Source organism: Homo sapiens, chromosome 6, assembly GCF_000001405.40.
Source record: "Homo sapiens chromosome 6, GRCh38.p14 Primary Assembly".
Classification (NCBI taxonomy): Eukaryota; Metazoa; Chordata; class Mammalia; order Primates; family Hominidae; genus Homo; species Homo sapiens.
Genome location: NC_000006.12, coordinates 82907538 through 82920531, shown reverse-complemented (window position 1 = coordinate 82920531; position 12994 = coordinate 82907538). Strand labels below are relative to the sequence as shown.

General features: G+C 38.9%; 1 protein-coding gene across 11 annotated transcripts in view, besides 1 other annotated feature; it reads left to right on the top strand.

Moving 5' to 3' along the window:
• The window catches only part of UBE3D (ubiquitin protein ligase E3D), a 185040-nt gene that overhangs the window by 145310 nt on the left and 26736 nt on the right, over window positions 1-12994 (top strand). The gene's annotated exons all lie outside the window — the stretch shown is intronic.
• Window positions 9415-9615: a silencer, noted in NCBI's record as "peak5926 fragment used in MPRA reporter construct". NCBI's record gives its function as "represses an SCP1 promoter by STARR-seq MPRAs in K562 erythroleukemia cells {active_cell/tissue: K562}" and the evidence as "EXISTENCE:reporter gene assay evidence [ECO:0000049][PMID:32103011]".

Here is a 12994-nt window from a genome sequence, read left to right as displayed (position 1 = left end):
TCATAATGTTGACCTTGGGTCATCAAGGAAAGGAATCTGTTTATATTTGGTGCATTGTTATTTTAAAAGGCAGCAAAATGTGTAATATATCTTACATTTTTATTTAAATGGTGCTATTATAGATCAATGTGGTCTTATCATATTAAAAAGATATATGTATCAAAGGAATGCAGAAGCCAATTTACCTTGTCTCTTACTACTTTTTGTCCTCTAAGAAAAATTACTCTTAAAATACTTCCCAAGGATTTTTCTGGATGTCATATCCAAAAACACATTTGTTAGCCTGGATAAGAAGAGAAACTTTGGCCAAGGACTTTAAAGATTCATTACTAAACATGGATCCCCTTTGTTTCATAATTCATCTCAAACTACTTCTCTCCCACAGCTTCAGTCAACTGTGTGGTATTTGGTTATAGTGTTAATAGATACTTCTTCCTATGAAAGTGGTTTCTTAATATGATTTATATATATTTTTTCCATTTGAAGCATAATGTTATAAATCAGACTTGGAAAATGTAACTTTCATAGTACAGAAATTTCATTCGGTGATACTTGATGTACAGTTTTCTCAAGTAGTGTTTTCAATGAACCTTCTTTTTCTTGTGTGACATTGTTTCCCAATTGCCAGTATTGGGATAGATGTCGAAACCACAATGTCTGTGTGTTTTTCTCAAGCAAGTTCTCATTCTCCTAAAGTAACCAGGTCCATCAGTCCAGGAAAATAAGAAAAAAGATTGCTGGGAAGACACTCCTTGCCCAAATTCAAAAATAGGCAGTCTCCGTGGTGATTTTACTTCCTCTATGCCATGCTAGTAATTGAACCTTGTGCTGTTACCTCCAGGGTCTCCACTGGCATTCTTATTATCATCTGTCCTTGCATGTCCTGATACTTCTTTTTTTATTATTATTATTTTATTTTATTTTATTTTATTTTTTGAGACTGAGTCTTGCTGTGTCGCCCAGGCTGGAGTGCAGTGGTGTGATCTTGGCTCACTGCAAGCTCCACCTCCTGGGTTCACACCACCTCAGCCTCCCAAGTACCTGGGACTACAGGCGCCTGCCACCACGCCCAGCTAATTTTTTTGTATTTTTAGTGCAGACAGGGTTTCACCGTGTTAGCCAGGATGGTCTCGATCTCCTGACCTCGTGATCTGCTTGCCTCAGCCTCCCAAAGTGCTGAGATTACAGGCATGAGCCACCGTGCCTGGCCAGGTCCTGATACTTCTAAGGCCAGCCACTGAAGAAGAGCATGGGTCACCACCACTTGGGAACTTAACCCACCCCTCTTCTTATTAATACTTACATCCCAAGAAGTCTACTTTCTCCTCTTGGGGTGGCCACTTCCCTTGCCTCTGGAAGCTGTGGTCTTAAGGATGGGCAAAGGAGGCCAGGATTCAAAACACCAGGTCTTTTTGCCCTTTCTAAACATGGGTGAAGAGGAAGAAAGTGGACACTCTCATATAATGCTTTTGTGAATGAATCTGTTACCAAAACACCAGGAGATGGATCTAAGTCCTGCTACTCTCTGCACAGGAGGCCAATCATGGAGATGAGCATTACCAGGGAAGAGGCTTTATTTGGGTGCTGCAGCTGATGGGAGATCAGTCTCAAATCCATCTCCCTGACCAATTAAAATCGGGGGCTTATATATACAGCAGGGAAGAAATGTAACTACGTGCAGGTAAAGAGGAATTAGGGAGAAGTGAAGAAATAATGAGAGATGAGGGGGTCTGGCTTCTCATTGTCTGGATCTGGTGAGTTTCAGTTCCTTGATACTATCTAGGAGGCCTGAGGAAGGAACTCAGATAAGACCAATGTAAGTTTTAAGACCAGAAGGGTCAATTTCTATGTTTATTTAAAAAGACTGTAAATATCAGTTCTATGGGACATTTGGGCCGGTTTCAAATCCATAGCAACAAAGGAGACAGTACACTAGTATTTATCTCAATGATTCATCCTATTACAACAAATTCTATTTTCCATGGTATTTTGATTATTTAAGCTACTAGGAACCTGTCTGGGAAATGCTTTGTTTAGTTTTCAACTTTTTCACTGAGTAAACTCAGATGTGTTCCTTAATACCTGATACCATCATTTTCTCATTTGTAAAATGACTTTAGAAACCTTGTACCTTTATAATAAGTCATACATATGAAGAGCATGAAAAGCTCAGACTGGTGAAGGGTTCATATGACAATGAGATTCAGGAAATGAAAGGGTTTATTTTTTTGTTTTTTTTTTGTTGTTGTTGTTGTTGTTTTTTACCCATTATCTTATTTCCCTGGTAGAAGGGTAAATGAGAATTTTTCTTTTAGAAATTAAAAGACAACTTGAAGAGAAATATACAACTATTCCCAAAAACTGAAAAGATAATTCCATTTTCTCCCTGCATCCATTTCAATTCTGTTTGTTTTACCAGAAAGTACATGAGTCCTTGGTTCTTGTCTTACTTGGGAGAAAGAATTTGGCCAAGAGACAAATTTAGCAAAGAAAGCAGAGAATTTATTGAAGGAAAATAAAGAGCAAGGAGTTTATTGAAGGAAAATAAGAGCAGAGAGTTTGTCAAAGGAAGTAGAGTTTAAGAAAGGAGCAGGCTGGTCCGGCTGGAAAACAGCTACAATAGCAGCAAGGGTTAAGCAGTGGCAGAGTTTAGAGAGACAGCACACTCCAAAAGACAAGGCAGAGTGAGCCGCTAGAAAAAGAATGAGCCAGCAGCCCTGAGAGTTCTGTGTTGAGGTTTTTCTTACATCAGACTCTTTAAGTTTGTGCTTCTGTCTTAAGTCTCTGCCTTTGTCTTTGTCTGGTTTCCCACTTCTGCCTTAAGTCTCTGCCTTTCCCCCACCTAGTTCCCATTCCAGGTTTGTGGGATTCTCCCTTACTGTCATTTGTTACAGAGGTACAGGCTCAGTGTTGGATATGAATCCTTCCTAATCGTGCTCATTACAATCACCCCAGGGAGGTCTCATAGTGGTTAAATATGTACTTACTGCACCTGCATGCCTCTTAGGAATTTCACCTTTGCCCTCTTTCCTTCCCTATCGGCATGTAGCTAGCTACCTTCTGACAGCTTAACTGCACAGTGAGCAATTACTGGGCATCTTAAGGGATGTCCGAGAGTGTTCCTTCCTGCATACGTATTTTGCCTCCTCTCTGCTCATATCTAGCATGCATGTTTTGGGTGGTCTCTGGGGTGTGAGATTTTCCAGACCTTCTTTTCTCAGGGGCTTCCCCCTCCTGTTCATGTCTAGCTATCTGCCTGTCCTAACATTTGCGCTAGTCTTGCCTTCCTTCCTTTCTCCTTTCTTCCCTTCCTTCTTTCTTCCCAGTTGAGCTCCTGTAATCTCTCAGGAGAGTGCAAATTAATTTCATTATGAGAATTTACATCTTTATTTCAATGCTGGGAATATGAATTGGGAAAAAGCTCTCATTTTGAACTTTCATTTTGTTTCACATTCTTTAGAAAAGGAGGATAAAGCAGGATTTGGAGGCAGAACCTTAGCTTTTCCTTTGGTTTTTTTAAGTGCTCCCAGGTATTCTCCCTCTCTAAAATTATCAGTGTCCGTTTTTAGACACAATAGGAGAAAGTGGCTTTTAATAACCAGTGTCTGACTTCTTAGGGCAGGAAGCTGGGTAGATTAATTGAAACATTCTAAAACTAAATAAAGTTGGTATCGGGGGTCCAGCTGAGCACACACAGGTGTTACATGCAAGACCCCCTAGTTTGTTGCCGTATCAGAAAGTGATTGTACCTTCAGCTGAAAGCATGAGATTGTCCTTAGAACTAGAGATAGATCCCATTTGTATTTGTTTTTCCTGTTTGAAAGTTACACTTGAAATGTACGTAGATGTTATTTGTCTACAGTAATTTTCTTGTAACCATATCGTTAAATCTTTGTCAGATTTGTATTTTCTGCTTTCAGTCAGCAACACAATATTTATTCATTTCAGTACTCACATATCTCAAGTTCAACTCAATATTTCATTTATTGAAGCTAAATAAAATGGCTACATAATTTACCAGTTATTAATGTATTCTGATTGTGCCAGCCTTCAGTGTGAACCTCTGGAAACTAAATAAGATGTGTGACCTATGTTCTTCTATGTTGTCTTACAGCTGCTGTAGTAATAGTAGTTAAGATGTATTAATGTAAGAAGTAGAATATTATTACATACTTAGATGTCAGTAATGTCTAAATACTTCATGAGTCTTGCTATATTTAATAATTGAAAATGCCATAGTGGATATTTTGACACAGATGTACAGAATCTCAGAAAAGGCTAGACTTGGGCAGGACTGGGGTATGGGCCTAGAAATTGGACAGGTGTGGTGTGAAATTGCAACCCTTGTACACACTGGCCACAGGACCTCAGGGAAGATGTCTTATCTGTGTAATAAGAATATTACTTACCTTATGGATATTGTAATGATAAAGTCAATGAATATATGACAAGTCCTTGGAATATAATAAATACTAAATAAATGATTATGACTTTTGTCCCTATGACTATGCCATTTCTAATTGTAAACATCTACTTCAATGACTATTAGAGACCAGGCTCTTATCTCCCAGCCCAGTGCTCTGTTGAACTCTTGTTCAACAAGCTTGTCATATACCTAATATTAGGTATTGTAAAGGATATCAAAGAAGACAATAAGATCAACACTGATATTTGCATCACTTCCTGCTCTACCTGTTGTCACATAGCATGACTAACAGCTGCTCAAGTGTCTGTCTCAGTTTCCAGTGAGATCATAAGTTCCTTTTAAAGAGGATTATCATCTTACACTTTTATAAGGTAACTTGCAACACCTGGAACATTACTGTTTGTAAGCCCAGCTGTTCAATGATAGAATATCTTTAAAAATTATAATTCAAAGAGAGCATGTTGACAAGAAGAAATGGTTGCACCTGTGGTGGGCGGGAGAGGTAGAGTTGGACCAGCTGATCTCTCACTACCCCTCCCACCCCAGGGTTCTGCCATCCTTCAGAAACACGTTCAGTGAGGCAGGTGAAGCTAAATAAGACAAACATACAAAACTTGTTGGCGGGGTGGTCATTTCCCAGTATGGTACTTATTTGTGAAGTCACATATTTAATATTTATACTCGAATTTTGTACAGACTCATACAGGCCCCGTCTGTGATCCTGATGTTTATAATGGAATCTGTAAGAGCGATTGCTTGCCAAAATATTCCTGCTAGCTGCTGCTGTTATAACTATTTTTTCTGTGATCTCCTGTAATCTACTTTTGCCATATTATAGCTCAAGGTTAATGCAACACAACATTATTTAGGCTGTGTCTTAGAGGCATGGAGCTCTAATTTTGGCTGAAAATGACCAAATATACTGCTTCCTAAGCTTTATTACTTTTTGCTAGATCTCATTTTTCCCTATCCCAAGTTATAGAACATTCTATAAAACTTAAAACTTTTTGCTTCTAAAAATATGCCCTCAACTCTTTATTGTCTGAAGAAAAAATGGAAGGGAGAGCATTCCACAGGTTATAAAAGAGAAAAAGGTGGGCAATCCACTCAGGGTTTCAGGTACAACTATAGCAACACCCAGACCTTTGGGATGAAGATCATCCTGTGAGAAGCCAGGGAAATGGAAAAAGTAATTTCCATTATCCTCTCAGGATGAGAGAGGATGGACATAGGTTCTTTTTCATAAGCAGCTTCAGTTCATCGCTCATATTTTCTTACCACCAGCAGGCATTCACAAAGATGTTGGGAAGCAAAAGGTATCGTCTTGATTGCTAAATGGGGAAGTAATAGAACAGCAGTAGATAAGGGGCTCTTTGCAGAATGCTATAAATTATTTTTTCAAAAATGAGTGTGGAAGTCACAGCTTTGTTAATATTGTATAGGATACAGTCTAACAAGGATATCAGTTCTCCTACTCCTGGCAGCAGAAGCCTTTCCTTCAGCTAATGGAGCAGAACACTAATTTGGAAAGCAGAGAGAAAGTAAAGCTGCCCTGCTTGACGCCGAGGTGCCACAGTAGAGTCCACTTTTCCAGCCAACTTCTCCCTACCCCATGTCGTCTGTGTCTGCACTGGACACATTTCCACTTGTGGCACCTTGGAAACCACTGGTCTAATTGCTCTGGTCTCTACCCAATCCACTGCATTTCACTTGGTTTTGCTCACTGACACCTTTAAGAATCTGATAAAAGCTTTGGGTCCTATTCCTTTAAAAGAGTGCATCTGCTTGAAATTTTCTGTGCTGTTTCAAAGCATTCATGGACTGCTCCACCATCACCAAGGCACATAAATTCCTCAGACCTAAGCCCTTTCTAAAAGTCAGACTGCATCTTTTTCACACTAAACAAAATAAAAATAAACAAAAACAAAATATAAGTCTAACCACCTAAACACACTATACCTTCATCATTTTAAATTAGTTTTGGAGGAAACTGAAAGAAATCTAGGTTCTGGTTTTAGCTCTGCAGCTAGTAGCTGGATTGCCTTCAGCAAGTCATGTAAGACATTTTTGGGCCTCAGTGTCTCTGTCTCTTAAACTCTAGTGTTCTGTGTTCAGCTGTAGTCTTCTGTAATTCTGTGAGCCAAAGTGAGAAGTCAGTAGTCCTCTCTATGACCAACCATATGCTGTTTGCATCCATTTATTCATTTTTAGCTTATGAGGGAATGGCCTTTCCTTTCACTCAGGCTAGATGTGAATGTTGTAGTTGATAAGCAGGTCAATATTGACATACTTATATGTAAAAAGACACTTTCTGCTGTTAAGTTTGAATCATTAAGTTCTGGGTTTGTTTTGTTTTGTTTTATTTTGTTTTGATCCAGCTATCCAGTCCTCTTCCTCACATTTCCATCACCTCCATCCCCAAGCAAAAAGTAAACTGATTTATCACCTTCCCTTCCCTTGACTCATTTAAAGTAATACACTAATGCCCTGAGTTAAACTGTATCTAAATAAGTTTGGATGATAGAGGAAAAGATAATGGTGACAGGTAAGGCCCAGTGAATGGGATGCTAATGTAAAGGGGCATCTATGGAGATAATGAATAAGTGGGTCATGGGTAAATGAAGTAGGAGCACAACTCAAGAGAGAAGAGGGGTTGGGTTAGGACATGTGCTACACTTCTTTTACAACCTAGTTATCCTCAGCCTACTTGAAATTAACCCTGTCATTCCTTTTCTGAGAAAAAAGAATTCTTTGCCTGGAGCAGTCATTTCTCCCAGGCTCTAAAACCCAGCCATAATAATGATGCTGCTAAAATTATAATTTATTGGACGTCAACCTTGCAACAGTACAGTGATAGAAACTTTGTGGATTTTAATTCACTTAGTGATTATAACCACCCTTTGGTACTTGTGCAGCTATTTCTGTTTTTCACATGAGGAAACTGAGGCTTAGAGAAGCTAAGTCAGAGCCATATTGGCCTCAAACCACAGAGCGAGAATCTAAGCACAGGTTATTTGATTCTAAAGCCTCTTTTTCCCCACTGGATTGCATAGCCACTGGGCTTTCAGTTAATAACTAGTGAAACAGTCCTGTAAAACTGTCCACCTTAGTGAATCTGCCTGCAGGTAGGTTTATTGTTACTGTGGCTCCTCATCTTTTGCAGGTGAATACCATGTATGAGATCATTTTGGAGGAGAGTGGCATGCCTAGAGTAGAGAATAACCACTGACAAGATTCTCAGGATTTAAAAAAAAGGTTGTTTGTTGTTTTATTTTGATTTGCTTTTTATTGCCTGACACATTGGAGGAACCCAATGAATACATCCAGAGGATGACTACGTGGATGTATGAGTGAGTGAAAGGCAGTTTATTCTACAAGGTTTAAATGAACTAATTTTGCAATAGCAAATACAGAAAGCAAAATTTTAGCATTATACCCTGGTATGACTTTATTTCTATATTTCAGGAACAAAACATCATATAACTTTCCACATAACTCTTTGAAGCTCTTGATAGGTCTTTTATATTCCGCTTCCCAAATCCTTCTGTGTAGTTATAAGTCGAAAGTAGAGTATTACACCACTTTCATTGGAAAAAAGACTAATTTTACATTGTAATGATTGTACCTGTTCTGTGACAAAGCCTTGATTAAAAAAAAAAATCCAAAAATTCCAGTTTAATAGCTCAAAGAAAGAAGATTGTCTCTAGGAGAACTAGGACACAGTTTTACAGTTTACTCATTGTAAAATTGGCCTTCAGTGTGCTAAAATGGAAAAAAGGATGAATGCAGAAGAAAAAAAGCATAGAATAACTGACTAAGCTCGAAGGTCATTAATGACACTAAGAGGAGTAAAAATGATAAAGTGAACATAGAAAATCATATTCTGTGAAAAATGAAATAGAATTGCTCTTAGCAAGAAAAAAAAAAGCATGGAAGAAATCTTTTTAGTACATTTGAGGGAAGGGAGGAAGGACTGTGTGCCCAAATGAGTAGCTCTGTTGGAGCCAAAGAATGGGTTCTAATCCTTATCAGAACTTCAGAACAAATTTCTTAAAAATGTAGGTCAATAAGAGCTTATAGTTAGGAGAGAAGCCTGGTTTCCTGCAGACATGTTTTCTGTTCCCCAGGAAGAAAGTCCAGTGTCAGTCAGCCTGTGAATCCAAATGTGTGATTCTAAGGAGGTACAGCATTAATTGGAGCAGCTGCTAGCACAGGAAGAGTGTCCAGCCTTTCTGACCGATGACAGGAGAAAGCTTTAAGCAGGGTAGATAATCAGCTCCTCCCATGACTTCTCCTGAGATTATAAAATTATCAGTGTAAATGTTGTGATCCCCCGTCCTAATCCTGTACATCCCCTTTTTCTACCCCCTCACCTTCATTGGGGAAAACTATTCATTATTTAGAAGGCAGCAGCACTAGTGAAATGCACAAAACTCAGATCATTGTTGAAAGAGCTGATCAATGTGTTTAAATGAAAGTCTCAAAAGAAATAAAATCTGTCTCACATGTGGCCCATGTGCTGAGTTTAAAAGGTTGCTATGGGAAACTTTCAGCTAACCTTTAGCCTCTGTGACTATATATTGCCTAGCTCAGACTTGTGAGAAGTATTCTAATTTATAAGTTTTATTTTCATGTAATTAGAAAAACAACAAAAACCAGTTATTGTCTCAAATGTTTGGGCCCTTGTTATTCCATTTAGAAGCAGTATATTGGTAATGAAGCTTTTTGCTGTGTCCCCAAATACTGCATTTCAAAACTTCAATTCTGGTCCTTTACCATGTAGGAAGATGATTGGAGAGTACACAATGAACTGATGATCAAGTCTTGCATTAAGGTAATAAATGAAAAGACTGTCACAAAATCTATTCATGTCCCCCCTGAGTTTTTTTTTTTTTTTTTTTTTTTTTTTGCCAAAATGTTCTTGCTGTGACCTACTTCTACAGATAAGAAAAATGATTTTTCCATCCTTCTATGACATTATGGCTATAGTGAACTGTTCCCAAGTGTCTTGGTGTAGGTGGCCTTGTGAGGATAAGAATTAATTATTTTTAGACTGCTGATGCATCACCTCTGTGGTGTCTATATTTGTCTTCTAAGAATGCATCATCACTCTCTAATTATAGGTGATCTGGTGGGATTAGATCTTTTGAGTTAAACAGACTAGGATGACACAAAATATGCATGGAAAGTAAACATTTGAAAAATTGGTGAGCCACAGTGATTGTTAAGATCCCAACTATACTGCAGTGTTCAGAATAACACTCAGAACAATCTTCACATTGTCAGTGTCACCACCTGCCTAATTCCTACATTTTAAATCAGTTGCCAATTGAGTTTATTTTTATGTTTTCAACTTGAAAATGTATCACCTAATTCTAATTCTTGGACTCTTGCAATGTTACCCCAACAGCTTTTGTGAAAGAAAGAAAAAAAAATAGGAAATCACCATGGAACCTCTGGAATGCTGCTCTGTGACAGCCGTCTCTGCAGAACCAGGAGAGCAGTGAGGGCTGTGGCACCTTGGTCTCAACTTTGAGGCTTGTGAGGCAGTACAGAGCAGAGCTCTGAGCAAAGTTTTAAAGAGCAGATCATTTTCTGGGCAGGATGTTTTGCCAAGTAATGTGGAAGTAATAGAGTACTGGGGTTGAAAATAACAAATCTCCCAGTCTCTTTTCAGCTCCATCCTATAAAAGGTTATTTTCTCTGATGTTGATGCAGAAAAGTAATAAACCTAGATTCTAGTTATATAATTAATTTGTCCAATCATTCATTCCAGGCAACAAATATTTACTGAAAACCTTCTGTGTACAAGACCTCATAGAGAGATATACAGAGATTTAGATAAGATGTTGTGCTTCCACATGAATGGTCCCTTTGCAGGCAGGAGTGGATACGCAAGGGTTTTATTGGGAAATCTAAAGCACAAAGTGTCGTCAGGAAGAGGCATTTGGTTCCCTACTCAGTGTCTGTGTGTGTGGACTGTGTCACAGGCAAAGTGTGGGAATTTAAAATCACCAGTGCTTTTCCTCTTTTCTTGAATCCCAGTCTAAGAAGTAGCTTTCGGGAATCACAAATTCAAGTGTTTAATCGATGATGAACATAAAGCTGGAGCATTTGAACACGTTGAGGGTAGTGACCAAAGTGCAAGGGTGCCTTTCTAGTCCCCCAAGATCACTTCTAAAACTCAGTGCCATTTTAAACAGTGAAGTTGGGAGGAAGGGGAAGGATCGCATCCAATTTCATTCCCCTACTGTGCAGCAGATGTGCCCACAGGAACAACTGCACAGTGCGATGTTGTCAGGTTTCCAAAAGAATTTAGCTAATGGGCTTCATTGCTCATAGACCTCGAATCCCAGAGAATCAACATGAAGGTGACAGACAAGTACAAAACTTGAAGCTTCTAAGAGTGAGTAAGTGATGAAGTTTTTGTGAGCAGCTTTTCCAACCTAAGAGTTCTAATTTGCCCCACCCAAAATTTGAAGCAGCTACCCTTGCACAAAGGGAAAGAAAGCAGATGTGAATGCTTATGTTAAAAGTCAGCTAATTTAAACCTAAGGAAAAAAATTCTTAGCTGTGGAGAGGGCCAGAATATTGAAGGAGCTCTGCAGCATCTCCTCTGGAGGCATTTCTGAATAATATCTCTTGAATGGCTTAGCTGTACAGGGCTGCCTCCAGGCTTAGCAGAGAATATATTCTGGGTACCATTGTAAGTGTTAGGGAAGGCCTGAAAATCACTGGCAGAAAGGCTAATGTTATACAGTTCAGATTCCCCCAAGGAAGAAAATGTTTATGCAATTCAACTTTGGTAACCTGAGTTGTAAGCTACTTGTTTTCTGCAAACATCAGAGTTAATAGTACCGGTACCCTAAACTACTAGTTCACAGCATATTTTTGGATCCATTTTTCTTTCCACTGAAGAACAACTTTTAACTTGTTATCAGGAATGTTCTCTTAGATTCAGAGAGAACCACAGAAGTCCGTTGCCAGTTTGTTACTGTGACCTGTGGGACAGGGGTAACCCCTTCAGAAGTCCTCACCCACCTGCACACTTGCCACACTCCCTGTGACTACTTCAGACTGCATTAATTGAGCACAGAGCCATGGGGCCAGGAAAAGTGTGGCACTACAGAGAGGGGCAAGTGAAATGCTGAGGCTTCCTGGGAAACCTGGACTGACTCACCTGCAGCCTGAGCCAGGCCCTGCTCCAGTCCCACACTGCTTTATGACCCCAGGACTGTCTCTGTGCCCTGGCTGTATAAATATCTCCCTGAGGCCTTCAGGAAGTTTCGAGTAGCATAGTACGTGAGTAAGTTATGCAGTGGAGGAAGGGAAGAAAGGAAGAGTGTATTTGAAAGGAGAGCTGTTGACAAGAAGTCCTATACCCCATCCATCTTTCTCCTAATATTTTTAATAAACATGTATTAAGCACAGTTTGTATATGTAATGCATTTATTGAACAGTGGAACTCATAGGATTGAAATATGAAATTTTTTCCCCCAATCTTCAACCACATTTTGGAGTTAGGAAAGGTGTTGCTGAGTTTCTTTTTGTTTTATTTCTTATTTTCGTATTTCAGTAGCTCTAGAGGTACAAGTGGTTTTTGGTTACAAGGATGAATTGTATAGTGGTGAAGTCCAGCCATTAGTGTCACCCAAATAGTGTACATTGTACCCAACTATTGACATTTTAAGATGGATTTTTTTTTATTGTAGAGAGCTGTCCTGTTCATCCCGGGCCTCTGCCTACCAGATGCCAGTAGCATTCCCCTAGTTATGACAACCAAAAATGTCTCCACGCATTGCCAAATGTCCCCTGGTTGAGAACCACTAATACACACCCATGTAACCATTATCCTAAAAGAAGATTTAGATCATATCCATTTCCCATAAAGTTCCCTTCAGGTGTCTTGCAGTTAATCGTTCCTCTTTGAAAACCATTGTCTCTATTTTCTATCATCTTAGATTCATTTTGTCTATATTTGCACTTTGTATAAATTGAATCATACTGTATGTACTCTTTTTTGTCTCGACCTCCCACTTTAACATAATGTTTTTGCAATTTATCCCTATTATTGCATTTATCAGTAGTTCATTCTTTTTTGTTGCAGAGAAGTATTTCACTGAATAAATATGCCACAATTTGTTCATCAGTTCTCCTGTTAATGGGCACTTAGGTTGTTTCCTATTGGGGGCTGTTTTGAATAAGGCTGCTGTAAATATTCTGGTAAAATCTTTTTGTGGACCTGTTTTCATCTCTCTCAGGTACATATCTAGGAATGGAATTGCTGGGTTGTAGGATAGATGTATATTTAACTTCTAATAAACTGCTAAACACTTTTGCAAAGTGCATGTGCCATTTTACACTCCCAGCAACCATGTCTGAGAGCTCCGGCTGTTCCGTGTCTTCATCAGTGACATCATTTGGTGATGCCAATCTTTTATTTAACTATTCTGGGTATCTCATTATGATTTTCATTTGCATTTCCCTAACAACCAATGATATGAGCACCTTTTCATGTGCTTTATCTTCTCTTGTGAAGGATCTGTTTTAAGGCTTTTTATCATTGAT